Raw genomic sequence first — 21928 nt, forward strand, 5'->3', positions numbered from 1 at the left:
TGCATGCATTTCTTGTCATGTATACATATTCTCTTTCTCTCTCTCCCTCTCTCCACACATACTCACTCCCTCTCTCTCTCTAAGTGCCCTAGAGTAATTCTTACTTCCCAAACAGCATCCTTAAGTGACAGAGTGCAAATGATTGAATTAACATTTATCTACTCAGGTATATGTAGAATCTAAAACAGTTGAACTCCTAGAAGTACATAGTAGAATAGTGGTTACCAGAGGCCTCAGGTTGGGGGTTGGAAGGAGCAGATGTTGGTCAAAGGGTACAAAATTTCAGTTAGGAGAAATACATTTTTGAGATCTATTGCATAGCATGGTGACTACAGCTAATAATAATGGATTGTAAATTGCAAAATTGCCAAGAATAAATTTCAAAAGTTCTCACCACAAAAAATAATAAGTATCTGAGGTGATGGATGTGTTAATTAGCTTGATTTACATCATTCCACATAGTTTACATATATCATAACATCACATTGTACCCCATAATTATATATAATTATGATTTGTCAATTAAAAATAAGGCCAGGGGCGGTGGCTCACGTCTGTAATCCCAGCACTTTGGTAGGCCGAGGTGGGAGGATCTCTTGAGGTCAGGAGTTTGAGACCAGCCTGGCCAACATGGCGAAAATATAAAAGTTATCTCTACTAAAATTATAAAAGTTAGCTGAGCATGAGGGCACATGCCTGTAATCCCAGCTACTTGGGAGGCTGAGGCACGAGAATCACTTGAACTTGAGAGACAGAGGTTGCAGTGGGCCGGGCTCACGCCACTGCACTCCAGCCTGGGCAACAGAGTGAGACTCTGTCTCAAAAAAAAAAAAATTAAAATTAAATTAAAAATATAAAGTTGGTCAATAAACAAATTTTCATAAGCACTTATGTTAGAGGCAACAGAAAGTATTTAGAGAGAACAGCAGACTGTAATTAGGAGAGAGGAGCTCTGATTTGTTTCCACCAGTCATCACTGTCACCTCAGACAAATTCTGTAACTTCCCAGGGCCTCAGGATTTGCATCTGCAAATGAGGACACAAATGGTGGCTCCAGGATTCTCCTTCCACTCTTATGACACATGGCTTTATGTGTCAGGAGGGGCTCAGCCATCAGGAGGGAACAGAAAAAAAAAAAAAAAAGCTCAGGATATCACCACTATTTCTGAGGAACTCATAATTTAATGATCTCTGCAATCTCTAAGCTCTGCTGGGAAATGAGCTCCAGCATAACACGGGTTCTGGGTCTGTAGTGGCATCGCTGACTGAAAGATAGGTCATTTTTAAAATAGTGGTATGACCTTTGGCTGTGATTTCCTCATAATAAACATAATATGATTTTTGTGCCAATTTTCTGTTAATTATGGGCTTCTCCTAAAAGTTTATGAGTTTAGGAAGAATGTTCTTTTTAAAGTAGAACTTTGGACACATGTTAGGAGATCCAATTAAATAGATGGATCATGGAAATTGGGTCATCACTGGTTGTTACCAGTAAGAGGATCCCTTAGAGATAATGTGTTCACCTGTTACCATAGAAGTCTTATGAGCTGTGCCTGTAAGTTACCAGTGGCTTCAAGGCAGGTAGACCTTTTGAGCTTTAATTTGTTCCTAGAAGGAACCTCTTCACTTCTCATTATCCAGACTTTCCCTAGAAGTGGGAGGGCTGATCAAAATGCCAGCCTTGGCCCTTTGCATTCTGCTGCTCCAGCCATGTGGGTCTGATTTGTTCTTACTGCTGGTTTAAGAGAGATTAAAAGGAGCAAAGCTGTTCTCTAAGTTTCTTGATCTGCACCGTGGCAGCCAGAGTCAGAGGAAATGGAGACAATGGGAAAGGGACTAAATCCTAGAGAGTGATGTGTCTGGGATCTCGGGAAGCAGACCCAGCGTTCAAATGCAGGCTTCAAATACTAGGTCATTGCTTTGGAGAATCTTCTTGCACCCAAAACAACTTGCCACAACCTATGTGGCCCAATGTGCAGCAAAAGCTGAGCCTGAGATAAGGACAGACAGGATATATGGCTGAATAAAGAACTTTCAATTTCCTTTTCTTAGTAGACGGACAAGTATCCCATCATTAAAAAAAAATAGCCACATAAAAAAGCAGTTTCCAATCTAAGTGCACATGGGGTATGCCAAAATCTTTGCACATGATTGACTTAATCAGAAGGCCCAATCTAATGGAGAGAAGTACTGTATTAATTTAAATATGGCAGGTGCTTTCTAAGTTTATTGCAAGAGTTAAAGACCAATTATCTTGTATTTTTCCATAAAATTGCATTTTCTAAAAAGAGACTGGTGTGTCTGAATACATCCATCATAATAAATCTTCAAGCTTGGATGGAAGTGACTGCTGTTTATTTGCAGCATGTCATATCTGTACTATTGAATCAATGCTAAAGTTATCATATTAGAACTAAGATGAGGGCCCGGAAAATGAGTTTTTATAGACTCACAGCGTGATTTTGTGAATAAAAGCATAAGACCAGGACCAGGTGTAGAAAGTGCCTTATTCCAGGGCCTGATGACCTGGAAGGCAATTTTCAAATGTAGGGATTATGCAGTCACCTCTCACAAGGTCCAGGGTGAAGAACAAGTAAGAAACTTTCTATTTTCTGGGGAATAGGCACACTTTCAAAGGAGGAAGAGGTATTGAGATGAGACAGAGAAATTGAGATGGAAAGTGTATTTGAAATATGTGTAATTAGGCAGGAGAAATGAGAATCACAAAACACTAGCAAAAGTCATTGTCTTGCTAAAAATAATAAAGGAAGAAAAACAAAGTATAAGCTAAGGCTTTGAAGGTGATAAAATATTAAGAAATTTTGCTTCTGTATTTATAGGAAATCAGTTTTTAAAAGTATAAACTAATTACTAATATATTACATAATAATGCAGTGATGTTGCTTGTCCATGATAAAAGGTAATAAATAAAAATTTGTTTAATGAATAATGAAAAATAGCTTTCACATTTGGAGTTGATTTTGATTCATTTTGATCTCTTATGTGGCTCTTGGCTGTAGACTATCTTTGTTTTAAGAAGAGCAAACCCATTTGTCCTAATATTCCTGGAGAATTATTTCATTCAAAAGAATAAAAATATCAGCCAGGCGTGGTGGCTCACACCTGTAATCCCAGAACTTTGGGAGGCAGAGGCAGGTGGAACACCTGAGGTCAGGAGTTTGAGACCAGCCTGGCCAACATGCTGAAACAGAGATGGTGCCACTGCACTCCAGCCTGGACGACAGAACGAGACTCTGTCTCAAAAAAATAAATAAATAAAAATAAAAGTAAAAATGTCATGTATATAATATAGAGAGAGGTTCAAATACGCTAAGAGAAAAAGAAGCCAAGATCATGTAAGCATTATGATTACAACCACATGCAGACTATGTTTTTCTTCTGGCTGAAGGCCAGAGAGAAAGGCAAGTAGCTGTATATTCAGTGGGTGTTATTTGGTCAAATCGATTTACATAGTCTTGCAGGTCTTCCAAATACTAAATATTAAGTACTTGGAAAATAGCTGAGCAAAATCTGAGTGCATTCTATGATGATACAGTAGCACAGTCTTGCTTGGGACTTAAAATCATGGTTGTTTATGGTCATGGAGTTCTAACCAAACCCTTGAACACAAAATTCAGTGAGCTCAAAATGAAACTAACACTTTCACATTCTAATCTGTATTTCCTTTTCTATCTACTATTTTATTTGTCCAAATTTGAAAACTCTGAACCAACCCCAGATCCTTCTTTTTTTACTCCCCAAATATCAAATAGATCACAAAAGGCTTTTATTCTTCATGTCTTTCATATCTGCTTCCCCTGATTTCTCATGCTCACTGATCCAATTCCAATTTTCATCTCTCGTGTCTGGGGTATTGCAGCAGTCTTCCTCTAAATCCCCATGGTCACACATTATCCTCCCTCCATCTTCTCTACTGCAGACAAAGTTATTTTTCTCAAACTGTGCATTTTCCCACTGATCAATGTAGTCATTCTCCAACTTTTTAAATACTAAAATCACTCTTTGAAAAATTGATATGGAACTTTGTTTTTTTTTTTAAGACAGAGTCTCGCTCTGTCACCAGGCTGGAGTGCAGTGGCGTGATCTCGGCTCACTGCAACCTCTGCCTCCCAGGTTCAAGCGATTCTGTTGCCTCAACCTTCCAAGAAGCTGGGACTACAGGTGCATGCCACCAAGCCCAGTTAATTTTTGTATTTTTAGTAGAGACGGGGTTTCACCATGTTGGCCACGATGGTCTCGATCTCCTGACCTTGTGATCCACCTGCCTAGGCCTCCCAAAGTGATGGGATTACAAGCATGCACCACCAGGCCTGGCTACTTTTGTATTTTTAGTAGAGACAGGGTTTCTCCATGTTGGTCAGGCTGGTCTCGAACTCCCAACCTCAGGTGATCTGCCCACCTTGGCCTCCCAAAGTGCTGGGAATACAGGCATGAGTCACCGTGCCCAGCCCAATCATATATTCTTTAACATTGTTGTATTATTTCCCAGCAGTTTGTAGCTTATTTTGTTTTAATGCTTTATTTTCCTAGTAACAAATTCTAAAACGATGTTGAATAATATTGTGATAATGAACATCTCTATTTTCCTGATTTTAATGGCAAAGGCTATATAATTTTGCCATTTAGTATGACAATACTTTGCTGTTGATAATCTCTATCATATTTAGAACATCTTAATTCTATCTTAATTAAATTTTAGAGGGAATGGCTGCTGAATTTTTTCCAATACTTAAAAAAAATCCTGAGTAAAATTATATTCAAATTCTACTTTAATTAGGTAAAGTAATGAATTTTGTTAACAGATATCTTTAAGCTGAAATACACTACTTTTCATGTTTCTGAAATCATATTTTTCTTCTAATATACCATTGAAATGCTATTCAAAAAATGTTTATCAATTTTTGTAAGTGAAATTAAAGTGTTTTGTTTTTGTGTAGCATATTTATTAGGTATTGGTATTAAGATTATGTTGGATTTACAAATGAATTGGAAAATTTCTTAGTCTGTTTGGGCCACTATAACAAAATACCATAAACTGAGCAGTTTTGTAAACAACAGAATTTTGTATTTCATAGTTCTGGCGGCTGAGAAGTTCAAGATCTAGGTAGATTGTATTGGTCTCTGGTGAGAATCTCTTTTCTCTTCATAGGCAACATCTTCTTCTATAACCTCACATGGTGAAACCTTACATGGTGATGTCTGTTTTATAAGATCGTTTGTCCCCACCATCTCCCAAAGACCTTACCCTATAATAGGAACACATTGAAAGTTAGGATTTCAACATAGGAATTTGCAGGGGGATCATAGGCATTGCAGTCCATTTCATGAAGATTTCTAACCTTGCCTGTAGTATGGTATAAAATGGAGTAATTTAGAAATTATCTCTTATCTTAAAAGTTATGTTGAAAGGTAGATGAAAATTACCTGTAAAATCACCTAGATCTGTATTTTTTAATTATTAAAACTTGAATCTCCTTTCCAATGGTGTCTATGGTCATTAGCCTATTGAGTTTTTCTACTTTTTCTTATAAATCTTTGACAAGTTATACTTTTTCCTAGAAATGATCCATTCCTTCTGACTTTCAAATATATTGCTTTAAAGTTGTACAAAGTATGATTTTATATTTGTAATCTTTTCTATTGTGATGGTTATATAATTTCTAATGTTCTATTTTTCTCCTTTAGTTTTTATTTCTGTTTTTTTAGAGGTTTATATATTTTCTTTGACATTTTAAAGAGCAAACTTTGGGATATTTTTAACTTTTATATTATTTCAAATATTATCGGGTAAATTTCAGCTTTTATTTTTAATCATCAAAAACCATCTTATTTATCTTATTTTTGTAATAGTGCATTAAGGTGAAAGTTCAGTTTATTTATGTTTATTTTCCTTATTATTATTTGAGACATTTTCTTCTGAGTTTCTGAGTAAAGCTTTATCTGAAGTTTATATGACTTGATATATAAAGCTGTCTCTTCATTAATACTCTAATTATTAGGTTTTGGTCTTTTTTACTGTATATTTTAAGATTGTATGTATAAAGAGTACTGTTTGTTCAATAACTTAATTATAGAAATCATTAAGGATTTCTTTGTCAACAAGAATATTATCAGTTTAACAAATGTTCCAATTTGAAATATATACGAATTACTGAATATGCTTCTTTGGTAAAATTCCTGAGTTGCTTATCACCCAATCATCATGGTCATTCTTTGCCAATTTATTTAAGCACTTACTGTGCCCCTATGTGTTCCAGGCACTGTGATAGGTACCAGGAATTCTTTCATATCCAAACTCTTCTAGTTGTGAAAGAACCCAAATTTGAACTAGCTTAGACTACATGAGTTAGCTATTAAAAGTTGTGTATAAGAAAGACCTGGCCAGGCACAGTGGCTCATGCTTATAATCCCAGCATTTTGGGAGGCCAAGACGGGCGGATCACTTGAACCCAGGAGTTTGAGACCAGCCTGGACAACATAGTGAAACCCTGTCTCTACTAAAAATACAAAAATTATCCGAGCATAGTGGCGGGTGCCTGTAATCCCAGCTACTCTGGAGGCTGAGACAGGAGAATCTCTTGAACCTGGAGGCAGAGGTTGCTGTGAGCCCTGATCACCCCACTACACTCCAGCCTGGGTGACAGAGCGAGACTCTGTCAAAAGAAAAGAAAGGAGAAGAGAGGAGAGGAGAGGAGAGGAGAGGAAGAGAAGCAGAGGAGAGGAGAGGATAGGAGAGGAGAGGGACAAAGGCACAACTTCACAATATAGATTATAAAAACTAGGTATTTTAAAAATGATAAGATTTTTCTCTCTGTGGCCAGATCTAAATTCAACAGCTTGTCTTTACTCTTTCAGTCAGGATTGATTTTCTCATGACTTTCTCCCCATAAGCAGAAATGTGGCCACGGCAGCTGTGTGTCTCTTATGTCACAGTTTTATCATCAGAGAGGCACTGATGGAGTGTTTCTCTGGTTCCAGGTTTAAAAAAAAAAAAAAAAAGTTCATTGAAGTTCTCTAGCCTAGCTTGGGTTAATTGATTACACCTTAGTCCATCTGCTGTATATAAGAGCAGAATCTTTTACGGACATGACAATTTCAGTTCAAATCACATGATAAATATGGAGGAAAATAATAATTTCTTTGTGAAGAGGCTTAATGTTTCAAGATAGAGACAGAGGATGTGCTGCGCCGATAGAATAATGAAAGTCTCCTATAGTCAAAAAACAAACAAATAAACTTGAGGCAGATTCTTCACTTCAAGGTGCTCACCATAAAATGGCAATACTAAACTATTTCTAGAACTCTATATAGAGTGCCTGTTAGTTATTTTGATCCTGTTACAACTCTTTCAGATGATGAGGTAGAAGTGTTGTCGCCTTCTTAATCATGGAGAAACTGAGGCTCAGTGAAGATAAATGATTGTTTTAGAACAGAAGCATGGACTTTAATAGTTGGGATTTGTTCTTTTCATCCAATTCTGACCTGGGTTCTATGATTAAGAGGTATGTGTCTCATAGAATCAAATCATCACCCTTCAAAAATATTAGCCAGCTTTTCCAGAAAAATCGTGTTGTATGAATTAAAGCCACAAATACACCAAAGTCATCCGTTTACAGCCCCTGGCCTCTTGTAAGTATGAGGATCATATAAATCAGGCATTTAAATCAAAGCACTGGAAATAAGCAACTGCTTTTTATGTGTATTGTTTTTCCAGAGAATATTCAATACTTAGCTACCCCTTCATTGTTCTTATTAAAAAAGGTATTTCAAGGCTGTGAAATAAAAGGAGGAAAAGAAGACAAATGTGTATGTTCCAAACTTCTCCTTTCCTCTAATCATGTCTCATGTCATCAGAAGGAATGCACTTCTGAAAAATAAAATGCTACAGAAAAGGCTGCTGAGTAATTATAAAATGATTACTTTTGTTTTTCCTTTATTCATTTATATTTTGCTTATGAACAAATGTATATATGGTCTTTGCTTTTAGTTAATGCTCTGTAAAATAGAATAACGTGGCTATCCTTAAAGATGTCACGTTGCTTTTCTGTTGTACATCCCTGTTAGGTTAAATCTGAGATGCACTTATCTATTTATTTTTACAAAAACAATTTGCAATGTGATTTAGAAATGGAGGAGTAACATAAAACAATTTGACTAAAAATGGGTGTGATTTTCTTATCTGAGACTGCCAAAAATTCACCAAAGAAAAATCATTCAAATGTCTTTGTGGTTAGGTTTCTTTTATAAATTGAAAGTTGTGTTCTATTTCATCATGAGAGATGCTGTGAGCTCTAACTGATGAGCATTTATAAAATATTTCCACGTTGAGATGAAATGACAAAAAGGCAAGATGAATTAATGAACATTGTATATTCTTATTCCTTTATTCCCATTCTACTCCATGCCTGAATGGCAACGTGAAGATATGTAAGCATAGGTAAGCCAGGTTTCATTGATTAGTTCAACAGCATTTATTTCCTGTGCATTCACAGTGTTGAGAGATAAATAAATTAAACAGCCCTGGCTTCCAGGAGCTCGTAGTAGAGAAGCATTCTGGATTTCCATTTTGTTTGACAATAAAACTTAATATTTATTTTCTTAAGCCTGAATACTGTGCAATTTCCTAGAACTTATTTTGTTTTGCTATATAAGAAACTAGCATGGTTATGAAAGTTAAGTTGGCTGTGAGTTAATTTCTCACATAGACCTCATTATAAATTTACCCTTCAGAATTTAGAGTTGTCTGAGTGTGGTATAATTAATCAGGAATGGACTATTATCTGACCTTACTTTATTCACTTTATAAGAGGACAACCTCATGTAAAACCACTGTCATTTAAGTAAGATAAAATGAGTACCTCTATACTGCCAGTTGCATTGTGAAAGGATTGGGTTTTCATCTTGTTTGCTGTTTTTGTTTTGTTTTTAATTTTGGCCACATATTAGAAAGCCATTGTCCTTCTTTCCATCATCATCAGGTAAATGGTGAGAATATTAGAGATACAGTTTGACATAATGAAAAGAATGTAGATTGTTGAGTTAGACCTGGATTAAAGTCCTAATTCCATTCGATATTTGGTAAAAGATCTTGGCAAGTAGTTTTACCTTATTCTATAGCTTCCCTCATCTTTAAAACCAAGATAGTAACTGTTATGAGCTGAATTATGTCCCCTCTACAAATTCAGATATTAAAGTCATAACCCTCAGTATCTCAGAATGTGACTGCATTTGAAGATAGGGTTTTCTGAATGTGGTGTAATTCATCGGGAGTGGGCTATTTCTGACCTTGCTTTATTTTTCAGTTTCAGAGGTTATTTTGGTGGGCCCTCATCCAATAAGACTGATGCTCTTATAAGAAAAGGAAATTAGGGCATAGATTGGTACAAAGGGAAAACCATGGGAAGATACAGGGAGAAGATGATTGTCTACAAGCCAATAGAGAAGCTGTAGAAAAAGCCAGCACTGCTAACACTTTGATCTTGAAATTCTAGCCTCCAGAATTGCAAGACAATGAATTTCTGTTGTTAAAGTTACCCAGCCTGTGGTACATTTTACACAGCCCTAGCAAACTAACACAGCAAAAAATATTTCAAGTGAAAAATATAGAGTTTTGAAATATTATACTGTATACTAAGATATATAATAAATAATATATACACATAGCTGGTATTAGTATTAATATTGATATTAACATTAGTCTAGAGTTAGTATTGCCAAACAGTACCAAAGAGTTTGTGAAAGAAATAATTGTCCCAAAGGAAAAACAATGAGCTTATGAAAATTCCTTTAAGCAAGAGGGAATTTGAGTGTGTCCGTGGAAGCTTTATTTTTAGGTCAATTTTAGCGTCTACAGCATTGCGTATTCTACCACTAATCATCTTTTTCCTTAGCGGAAGTATCCTGAAATTTGATGAGTAAAAATGACTTTCTTTTATATTTTTGTGATATAACAGCTTCTAAAGTAATGTGTTTCTGAAAATGTCATTACCCCTAAGACTTACTTACAAAGGGTCATGATGTGTTTGTCAAAACTCATCAGTGTGTCCAGAAACTATGTGCGTGTGTATTTTAGTCAAACTTTCTGGGAGTTAAAGTATATATAAGGTAACACAGCAATGGAACATCGCAATAGTTGGCATCAGATTTGCAAATGGCACAATTATTTGTTTCCTCTTCACTGGTCCTTGAAAAATACATAATGTTCCCATCAAAAGTTCCAGCCAAGCATATTTGTAAGAACAGGGTTTGAACATAACCTATTATATCATGAAGAATGGCTCTCTTCCATGGTATTTACCACCAGAATTAAGTAGTGGTAGACTTTTTTTTATTCATGGAAAACATTTAGTGAATGGGTAGAATGTTATTTGTTTTATATTTTTCTCTCATCAGCTCCTTTGGAGACTTTGGCATCGGGCAGAAAAAGGGTCTCACTCTGCACACCAATTTGAGTTCCCATGTTATCAAACAGATTTAATGCTAAACTAAACTGGTGTTTGTTCTGCTTATAAGTCTTTGAGTTGAAGCCTTGTTTCTGGAATATTGGGACATGCTCTGAAATGTTGCCTCTGTAGATCCTAGAAAGTAATGATGTTTTCTGCTTTCATGCGATTTAGTTTTAATTATTCTTCCTTCAACAGAGAGAAATAGATTGCCCCACAGGGAGGGAACCCTCACCTTGCTTGAGCATTGTCTAAGAAATGGCTTTTTCTCATGATGTACTTAACTGTTAGGCAATGTTGTCAGTTTCTCAGCTTACTGAGCAGCAAATCTGCTCATTTCTTTGCCAAGGAAAAAGAATGTTCTTAAAAATAGATGAACTTTCTCTCTTAATGTTCAGTGCATTCAATGTTGCTTTATTTAAGGCTGCTTTATCATCAGTTCTGGTGTTTATTTCAAAAAATTCAAAGTAGATAAAACAGATCATTCACTAAATTCCATCTATTCAATAAATAATTTGCAGAGCTGTTTTTAAAATGTGTATCATTTACCCTGTACTCCCTAGTGGCTCCCTCTGTAATGCAGAGGCCTTGTTTGCAGTTTTTCCATCTGTTATTCACCTTTCTCCCCTCCTTTTGGAGCTCTTGATCTCTAGGGATGTTTTTAGGGAGTCTTTATCCCATTAGTCATTGGGACAGCTTTGGAGAAGAGGGCATAGTTAAGAAAGGGAGGATCTGATTCTATTCTCAACTCCACTACTTAGCAACAGATCAAGTTGTTTAATCTCCTTGAGCATCAATTTTCTTTTTTATTAAAATAGTAACCAAAATATTTGCCATTAATATTTCAGTGAGTGTTGAGGGAAGAGGCATCAGATGAGACACTCCAAAAGAAAGCAATTTGAAAATCATTTAATTCTATGGCAATATAAGGCCCAGCTGTTATAAAATAGTGAACATTATTCACTCCTAAAACAGCCAGAGAGATGAGCGGCAGAGGAAAACCATAGAACAAACTAAGTAAAAGAAATTGAGAAAATGTATTCTTTGGAAAATCAGATATTACGAGATCCTTCAGTTAAATTTATGTCTCTATTTGCTAGAAGAGATATTTATCAGTTCCAAAGCAACAAGCCTTTCCCTTTTGGTTTTATTAGCTACATGGTAATTGATATGAATTTAAAAGATAGGTTTAATTTGATAGCAATAACTACATCTACTGGCAGGATATATTTTATGTCATTGATAGTCCTTTTATTTTCCAAAAGGATTTACCAGTTTATAGTAAAAAAACACGAATGTGGATAAGCTTGTGAAAGAGTAATAAAAAAGAAATAAAGAATAAGAAACCTGAAATGATAGAGGAAGACCAACATACCTTACCATTATGAGATTTTATACTAAGTCCTGAGGCAATGATCAAAGAGAACTAGAGCAGGAGACTGACATCTTGTTTCTCATCCTAGTTTATCTATCATGTACTTTGCACATAATTGTTATACTTATTTTATTACTTAATTTATTGTTCTACTTGTTATAATTGTCCACAAGTAAATTATCCAGTTCTCCTTAAATTTAACTCTCAGAGGCCGGGTGTGGTGGCTCATGCCTGTAATCCCAGCACTTTGGGAGGCTGAGGTGGGTGGATCACCTGAGGTCAGGAGTTCGAGACCAGCCTGACCAACATGGTGAAACCCCGTCTCTACTAAAAATACAAAATTAGCCAGGTGTGGTGGTGCATGCCTGTAATCCCAGCTACTTGGGAGGCTGAGAGAGGAGAATCGCTTGAACCCAGGAGGCAGAGTTTACAGTGAGCCAAGATCATGCCATTGCACTCCAGCCTGGGTGACAAGAGCAAAACTCCATCTCAAAAAAAATAAATAAATAAGTAAAATAATAAATTTAACTCTCAGATTTCCCCTGGGAGATGCTTCCAAAACTTGTTCCATTTTAACATCAATAGAATTATTTGAGGGAAGGCTATTTTGATATATATATATACACACATATATGTATATATATATATAAAAAAATACATGAATGAGAAAAAATTATATTCCTCATTCTCTTAAAGAAACGATAGATCACTCACTTAATTAGCTATATATATATATACACACACATACATATATTCACATATATATATACACACACACACAACCAATATTGTATTATTGTATTTTAGTACTTTTATTAAGCCATTTTACCTGTAATTATTTGATGGGGTAAATAATAAATGAATTCTAGTCTATTGTATTTTTTAACTGAACCTTTTTTGTTTTTCACACACATGCATGCACACACACATAGACAAATATATATATGCTTATGTATATGTATATGTGCATACACAATGAATGTATATGTATATGTACATACACATATGTATGTATATGTATATGTACATACACATATGTATGTATATATTATTTGTATATCTAAAGTGAATCTTAAGACAAGAATTCTATTTCTGTTGATAGTCTCCCAGAAAAAGTAATATGCTATTTGGCTATAAGACTGGAAATAGAACCCATGCCATAAAGGCAGGGCCAGGGGGTTTCTAAGTCAAAACAACAACAACAATAAAATAATTACCTAAGTGATCCTAAATAAAGAAAAAGTAAATTGCCATCAACAATTATATTCTAATACAATAAGCAATAAAATGCACCCAAAATTTAAGAACCTTGGAGAAATATGTGGATGAGAAAAAATTATATTCCTCATTCTCTTGAAGAAACTATAGGTCACCCACTTAATTAGCTTGTTCCGTAACTTTCACCCAGGACTCCTTTATGATCGCATGGAAGACTGTTTGATCCTTTTCTTCTGCTGGATCACCATCCCAAGCACACACTCACAGAACACATACCAAAACACTCTGTCAATATCACCATCAGCTCCATCACAGTAAGTAGTTAGCCAATTATGAAAACAATAAGCCAGGCCCATTATTTGCAGGTTGTGAGTTAAAAAAAAAAGAGTCATCCTTGTTGACTATTTGAAGATGAGATGTATCCTCTTAATCTTTGTTAGTGGTGACTGTGTAGAGATTTCATTCCTGGAATACTGTGTTGGTTAAAACTCAGCAAAGCAACCTCAGCTGCTTGCAAACTTGCAAATCCTGCAGTGTTAAATGGCCAAAATGCTACTATAGCAATTTTTTCTTCAGTTGAATTGGTCAGTTTTTGCCAACAAGGATGAAATTTACATGATTCTGAATATAAACATAAGTAGTATGATCTTGCATCAGCATACTGAACACGGTGAGAAACCAGCAATCAGAAGTACGAGGCTCAGGGGAGAAAGCATGTAATGTGGTATAGCATGCCTCAGAAATGAAAATCTTTGATGAATTAAGAGGAGGTTCTTATAGTTCCCAGGATTTTCCCAAGAAGTTGATTTGTAATCCACATTTTAAAGTAACACAATTAACTTTTTTATTTGAATATGTAAAACAAAATAATTCTATGTTTCCTGTAGGACTCTAGGCATTTTATATTAAAATTAACACGAAGTATGTATTTACCTTTAAAAACCATGCAAGATGGCAAAGCATGAAATGTAAAGAGAAAAAACAATAACAACATCAGAGTAGAAAGTTATAATTGTTAATTACCTTCCTCTAATGTCCCACAGTATTGGACTATGGGAGCATTCAGGGCCTTTATTCACTCTTACCAGCAAATACTTTACCAAGAATAGATATTTTCATATTTTTTTCTTCATAGCAAAGTAATCATATGCCAGGTACTTTGTATCTTTTATGCTTTCTTCACCTATAAAGTTAGAATCATCTAACATAGTGACATCATAAATTCAGAATAACAAAAGCAATACAAATAATTTTAAATCAAATTTTTAGTCTATCCTATCAAATATTGTCATAGTGAAGTTTTGTTTTTTGTTTATTTAAAGATTAAAGCCACTGTGACTTTCTAACCATATATAAGAAATTATATATTTATGTATTAAAATATTCTTCTCCTTTGTATTGGAGCACTGAGAATTACTGGTAGGATTGTGGATGAAAACTACAAGTAAAATGCTTAAAGTTGTTGATATGGTGAGATGGCCAGACAAGCTTTTGAAAACATGCCAAATTTGGGGGCTGTGACTTTGTTTTCATTCTGCTTTAGTCTGATAAAAAGATGTGAAAAGAACTAAGTACAGACAACTGTTTGCCCCATTGGTGTAGTTTATTGATACAGTTTATTGTGTAATTACATTGGTATGTGGTGAAAAAAGGCTTTCAGAGGTAGAAGGCTCAGGCTGGAGACTTGAAAGTGGTACTATTTAAATCAGATAATTGAGTCTCTGTTTCCAAATCTGTAAAACAGTGTTAAGATATAAAATATCCCATACAATTGTTGCAAAGATTCAGCAAATGAATTTGAAAATATTTTGCAAACTGTAAAGCAGCATGTATATGCTGCTATCAATTTTTTGACTTGTTATTTTTGTAGTGACAAAATTATTTCCTGATAGAGTATGAATTTATCTCTGTAGCAGAATCCACTATATATTTAGGATAGAAAAGTAAAAGATTTTTATAAATTGCCATGAAATGTCACAGGCTGATTTGCATTTTCTGGTGATTCTATACATTAATCACTGAGTAACCTTCAGTTTTCCAAATAAAGAATAAAGAGAGTGGTGATGACATTTGTAACCATCTACAGAGGAATTATTTAAATTCTTCACAGATGGAGCGATATCAAGGGTAAATCATTATAGCCACATTTCTAATTTTAAGAAGCTTTGAGGGTGTTTGTGGATGGTAGGAAGTAAACATTGTTTTGCATATAGAATTAATCATAGACTTTGCATACCACAATTCCAAATCCTCCAGATGAGTGTAGAGGGCTTTCGAGACACCATCCCCTAAGGATCGAGAAATTCATAAAAGGAAAATAATGTTATGCTACATGTAATATACAAATTGAGCAAATTGGAGCAACTAGAATAGTGACCTTTCAAAGAAGACAAATTAGATTCTGTATGCCTCAGAATTTAATGAGTCTTAGTGCTTTAGGAAGGATGACATATGACACATATTCTTAATTCTAGTCTCACAAGAGTTAACTTTATTATTTCTCAACAAGATGAATAACTCACTTCTTCTTTGGTCAACATAATTCTACCTAATATTCTCTGTAAACTAGCTCTGGAAATACATGCGGACCAGTGCTTGAGATTTTTAGTAAATGTAAAAGGTATCTGAATGGTTGTATAATGCTGCTTTAAAAGAGTTTTAAGGGTTGGAACATGGTCACTGAGAAATACACAAGAAAATCTGTTACCAAATGTGCTCTGAATTTTGAGATGAGTAACCCGTGGAAGTATTCGCTATGGGTAACACCACTTGCCTAAAACCACAGAGGCAACAAATGGCATAGCCTTTCTGGTCACCAAATCTAAATGATTTTCTCCAACTGAAATTAAAAATGTGTTTCTTGAAATGTACTTTTTATAATTTCTGAATTACAAATATTTTCTTTATTTTTATTCCCATTTGCTTTGTAAGTAGTTCTAAATTAATATATTCTTAGTAACTCCTGAGTTCATATGGATAATAGTAAAAACACAAGTAAAGAGTAAACATACTGGTAAACCCACTAATCATAATTGACAACTACCACTTGTCATGTTCAAATCTCATTATCCTGTGATGTTTTTTCTGTTTCTTGTATCTTCTTCCTAAGATTTAGTTTGAAAAAGGAAAAGAAAATGTATTTAATGCCAGATAAATACCACCACTAGGGAACAAAAAAAAGGTCCATTTTTAAAGGACTCCTGGAGGCCAGGTACGGTGGCTCACGCCTGTAATCTCAGCACTTTGGGTGGCCAAGGCAGTCAGATCACAAGGTCAGGAGATTGAGACCATTCTGGCTAACATGGTGAAACTCCGTCTCTACTAAAAATACAAAAAAATTAGCCGGGCGTGGTGGCACGTGCCTGTAGTCCCAGCTACTCGGGAAGCTAAGGCAGGAGAATTGCTTGAACCCAGGAGGCAAAGGGTGCAGTGAGCCGAGGTTGCGCCACTGCACTCCAGCCTGGGCAACAGAGAGAGACTCCATCTCAGAAAGAAAAAAAAACTCCTAGAAATCATTTTTGTTACCATGTTTATAGCAACACAATAGTGAAATAGGCAAATGCATTTAGTCACATAACTTGGTTTTCTTGGGCCACTGCTTTCTTTCCTGTGGGAGTGGGAGAAGGTACAAGCAGGAGAGACATGATGCCTTTGGACTGCTCTGTTACCTTCAGTTTTGTAAGGCTCCTGGCTCCACTGACCAGATTATGCTGATAGATAAGAGATAGGGGACTAGTTTTCTACCTTGTGCCTGTCCTGGCCAAGATGCAAAATTAAGCCTACTGTTGAGGAAGACCAGAAAGTTGTTTATTGCAATGTACCCAGGCTCCCAGACTTAGGATGTTATTTACCCTCCACCGTTATGCAGCGGGAACTTAAGATGTTAAGAACGACTCTTACCAACATCTGCTTTGTTATGCATTCATTCTGCCTGCATCTTTAATTTGGGGTGATAGCTGCCTTCAGAAGCTTTGGGAGCCGTTCCTCTCAGTAACCAAATACTGTCCCATGGGGGACATTTCCTCTCTGCAGCTGTTCTGTGTAGGGTCTCAACAGTGTGCTACAGCTGGCTGTATGCAATGTAGTGCCTTGATGTCTCCCTCTCTCCTTGCTTTTGCAGCTGGCGCTACGTACATCTTTGGGAAAAGTGGTGGGCTTATCCTCTACACCTGGCCAGCCAATGACAGGCCCAGCACGCGGTCTGACCGCCTTGCCGTGGGCTTCAGCACCACTGTGAAGGATGGCATCTTGGTCCGCATCGACAGTGCTCCAGGACTTGGTGACTTCCTCCAGCTTCACATAGTGAGTACAGGGCCTTGGCCTGGATTTTCTTATGTTACTGGTGGTCTGAGTTAGTGATTCAGGTAGACGCAGCAGAACATTCTAGATCAATATGGCAAAGGTGCACATGCTTATAAAAATTGTTTTCAGATGTGAACCATCATATTTACAGGGTTCCTGGGGGAAAAAAACTTAAAAACTCTTCCTTCTTCCCCATGTATATAGGGAGGAAAAAGAAATTCATTCTTTGCAGGCTCCCTTCCCAACTGTGTGGCTTGGCCTGTGGCAGAATATTTAGCAGACTTCTAGGGTATATTTAAGAGATTTACCTGGTGTGGATCTTACCTGGTGCAAGCAGCAAAGCCAAGTGGAATGTTAACAATCTCCTAGGCTGGGATTTGGCAAACCTTCTGTAAAGAGACGTATAGTAAATATTTTGGACTTTGCAGGTCAGATAGTCTCTCTCAGAGCTACTCAGTTCTGCCTTTGTAATGTGAAGGCAGCCACAGACAATACATTTTTTTGAAATGCATGAGACTGTATTCCAATAAAAATGCATCTATAAAAACAAGCTGCAGGCCGTAATTTAGTGACCCCTGTCCTAGGCTTCAAGCATCACTGTAAGAGATGTAATAAATGTGTGATAAAAACTGAGACCAGAGTGCCAGAGTGGGCGGGGCAAAAGGGAAACAGAACAGTGATCAAGAGTTGAGTAATTCATGTGTATTGCATACTCAACATTTTGCTTTTGGTCTTGTACATATGCACTTAATAGCACTGCACCCTTAATCCCTGTAGATCATAAGAACACAGCAAAGGCTAAGAAATTAAAAATGATTTAGAAGAAAAAATTCTTTTGTTATAAGGATGGAAAATATTTTTACAGCAACAATTAACCCATTTTATCACCTGTGCAGTCTGCAGTTAAGAAAGTAGGCTAAAGAGAGATATGATTCTCATCCATAAGTACCCAAAGTGCAGTCTCCAAGAGCAAAGAGAGGAATTGTTCTCATTAGTTAGCAATGACAAGGCTAGAAAGAATGGATTTAATTTGGAGCAATAAGAATTTAGTTTAAATAGCAGGAGGAAAAGGCAGTTAAGAAAAAAGATCAACTGGGGATTACTACCAACCTCCAAAAAGGAGGAAAAGGAACATTGATTAGGAATCTCTGAATCAGAGTTTTGCTAATGTGCAGGTGTATAGAGAGAAGCAGAGGATACAATTTCATTGCTGGTCTCTGGAGTTGGAGATGGCTGGCCGGAATCATGCATGACAAGCCCAGCTCCCACAGCAGTGCGCATGTCTGACACTTGCTCTTCCAGCATGCCTTGGAAATGAGAGCAGCTTAAAGTCCTAGGCTTGAGCTGGAAGTCGGTCTAGCCCCAGTATAAGCCAGATCAGGGCAAGACTCTGCTTAGGAGCTTAAGGAAGAACTGGTTAGAGATGATCACCTTCAAAATGTGGTGGAGGAGTCTTGAATAGAGTTGTGAACTTTTCAATTTTTTCTCAGATGCTTCAGGAACCATATGGTGCTATGAGCCTGAGCTAACACATTTTAAAAAGCTATGCCAAGGAGCAAAAAGAAAGGCAGCCATACTTACTACACTTTATCTTTATTTGGCCTCTAAGAACCACCATAATTTACAAAACTCTGTGAGATTTATGCTACATATAACTTAATGACTATTTCATGGCAGCTATAACTAGGCTGTTATTACCAGCTCACTTGCATTTCCACAGTGATTTATCTTCTTTTTTTGTTCATTGTGACTGCCTAAGAAAAATATGATTTGGCACAGACATGAGCATCTTTTTGAGTCAAATAGTGTACTATTGTTTTATCCATTCCTGCTCATTCATGTTTTGTAGAACATCTCCACTTTTAAGAGAGAGGTTTTCCTATTTTCTGATGGTTTACTTGAAATTAGCAGTGTTTTAATAAAATTGTCATGCAGATTGTGGTAACTTCTAGGAGGAACCAGAACATTCCAGTATATTTTAATATACCATTATAAAGCTCTGTCATTTCTTTGGGGTCTTTGAAAAGTGAATACTCTAAACATACTTTGAGATTCAGGTAACATCCATTGTGTGCATTTATTAGTGTGTGTATTCTGTATAAGCATACCCATTAGATTTGACATAGTATAATATTATTTTCTTTGTATGAGCAAAATTACCAGACATTTTATATCAAAATGTAAAGAGCCCCCTGGGATACTGTAGACACTTGGGTGATACAGCCGATTGCTTAAACGTTCTGTGAAAGCCCAGTAGATTTTCCTCCAAATCTTAGATTAGGAAATGATGTCACCTGACCCTTTCAGAAAAAAGGAAAAAAGGATCCTATGCTGTGGGGAATCTGTGTGATTCTAGAGTGACCCTGACATGTTCATGGCCCTCTCGAGCACCAGGCCCCTTCATGGGTCTAGTCATTTGAAGCCATATTTTATTTCCTTGCAGATTATCTCTTTGTCTACTCTGAAGAAGGCAGGTTTCTCATCATACTTGAAAGTAAAGAAATCTAAGTAGAAGACTAAATGGCTTAATTATGAAACCAGCTTTTTGTTTTGGACATTTAAGTAGATACATCAGGGAAACAAAGCCATAAATACTTATTAAGATACTTTTATAACTTTTACAATCTGTAAAAGGTGGTTCTGTTTGTTGAATGGTTTGTTTTCTTGTACTAAAGAAAATTACTGAAGAGAGAAAGAGCTTTGGGGCCATTAATGAAAGTGGAAGGGATTGAGCATAAGGCAGAAGATGCTATTTCTCCTTACAGTTTGCCTAGAAGAGAAACCTCCTGGGAAAAAGAAAAAGTGATAGAAGACACAAGGGGGAGATGAAGGCAGGTGGTTTTCTCAGTTTTTTTACTGCTATAACAGAATATTTGAGATTTGGTAATTTATAAGGAACATAAATTAATTTCTCACAGTTCTGGAGGCTGGGAAGTCTAAGATCAAGGTACTGGCAGGTCTGGTGTCTTGTGAGGGCCCAGTCTTCACCTCTAAGGCGAGCACTGCATCCTCAGGAGGGGAGGAACCCCATGTTTTCACATGGCAGAAGGGCAGAAAGAGTGAACCCACTCTTGCAAGCCCTTTTTAGGATAGCATTAGGCAGAGCCCTCATGACCTAAGCGCTTTCCAAAGGTCATACCTCCCAACACTGTGGCATCGGTGATCAAGTTTCCAGCACATGGAATTTTGGGAGACATATTCAGAGCATAGCAGCAGAATATATTTGCAGCAGAATATATTCCAGGGATAAGGGAAGAGGACAGGGCTCTGCCTACCGATGTGCTTCAACAAGGGATTACATGGGGGCAAAGCTTCATTCTTTGAATATGAGTGTTCTTTATAAAATAACAACAACAATAAAAACCTAAAGTACTTTGGTGCTACTTGTGAGTGGTGGTCAGGCTAGTAAAGTTGGTCAAAAACAAAGTACAAACTCCAAAATTAGCCAGCGGTGTATATGTGTGTGTGTGTGAGAGAGAGAGAGAAAGAGAGAGAGAGAGTGTGTGTGTGTGTGTGTGAGAGAGAGAGAGAGAGAGAAAGAGAGAGAGAGTGTGTGTGTGTGTGTGTGTGTGTGTGTGTGTGTGTGTGTGTGTGTTGGGGAGAAGGAGAAGAGACAAAGAAAGTTTGTATTTTTTTAACTTTCAAAGAAGACAATTCCTAGAAATTCCTGAAGTGTTTTGAGCAACATCAACATTGTCGTTGGAATATTTCCTTTTTACCCCCAAGTGGACTTATTTGAAGGAAGAGAAAATGCTCTTCCAAGAACACTAGAGAGCCTGACCCTGGGGTAAGCACCCACTCTAGAATAGCCCCAGGGCAGGAGTGGCAAATAGGCTTCATCTTGCCTGAAAATTCTCAGTGCCTCACTCTCTCTCTTCAAGCTTTACACCAGGAAGATTTATGAGAACAGCGGGCAAATCCACAGGTAGGAGATCTAGCTTCCATTAGTCATGTCTGCCACATGTGCCGATGTGAGGTTTTGTGAACGTGCACTACACATTCATCACATCTGCTTTAAGCTCCACAGTATTCCTCCACACGTGCTCCAATTTTCCCATTTCTTTTCCTTTGTTATCCTGAAATCCCTATGTATTAAAATTTCTTTGGAAAAGCAGTATCTTAAGCTCATGTTGCACTGCAAGTCCTGGAATGATTTATCAATTCATCTGAAGTAGTCAATCTTATTGCCATCCTTCTCATACCAGCCTAAAGTCAGCTCCTGTGACAGAATTTAAGTTTTGATAGGAGAGTTGGACAGAAAGGAAGAAAAGTGGCCATGGCTAGTTTGGGGATGTGCAATGTTGTGTGGGATGGTAGAAATGAGTGGGAAAACTTGGGCAAAATGAAGGCATTTGTGTCCTAGATTGAGTAACTGGGGCAAATGAAGAAAGGGTCACCAAGACAGTTGAGTGCTATGAGCACTTTTCTTCTTTTATGTATGTATTTTAAGTTCAGGGGTACAAGTGCAGGTTTGTAGGCTTGTTACATAGGTAAACTCGTGTCATGGGGGTTTGTTGTACAGATTATTTCATCGCCCAGGTATTAAGCTTAATATCCATTAGTTATTTTT

The 21928-nt window shown here is 36.7% G+C and overlaps 1 protein-coding gene across 56 annotated transcripts in view; it reads left to right on the plus strand.

Moving 5' to 3' along the window:
• NRXN3 (neurexin 3) overlaps nt 1-21928 on the plus strand; it is a 1697919-nt gene that overhangs the window by 1279672 nt on the left and 396319 nt on the right. For all 56 annotated transcript variants that reach the window (NR_158973.1, NR_158975.1, NR_158974.1 and 53 more), the window contains one exon: nt 17177-17358. Coding sequence is in view for 49 of the 56 variants with exons in the window: in XM_011537363.2 (XP_011535665.1) it covers nt 17177-17358 (182 nt within the window). In the remaining 7 variants the exon portion in view is untranslated. The remainder of the gene's footprint in view (nt 1-17176; nt 17359-21928) is intronic.

Source organism: Homo sapiens, chromosome 14 (assembly GCF_000001405.40).
Source record: "Homo sapiens chromosome 14, GRCh38.p14 Primary Assembly".
NCBI classification, from domain to species: Eukaryota; Metazoa; Chordata; class Mammalia; order Primates; family Hominidae; genus Homo; species Homo sapiens.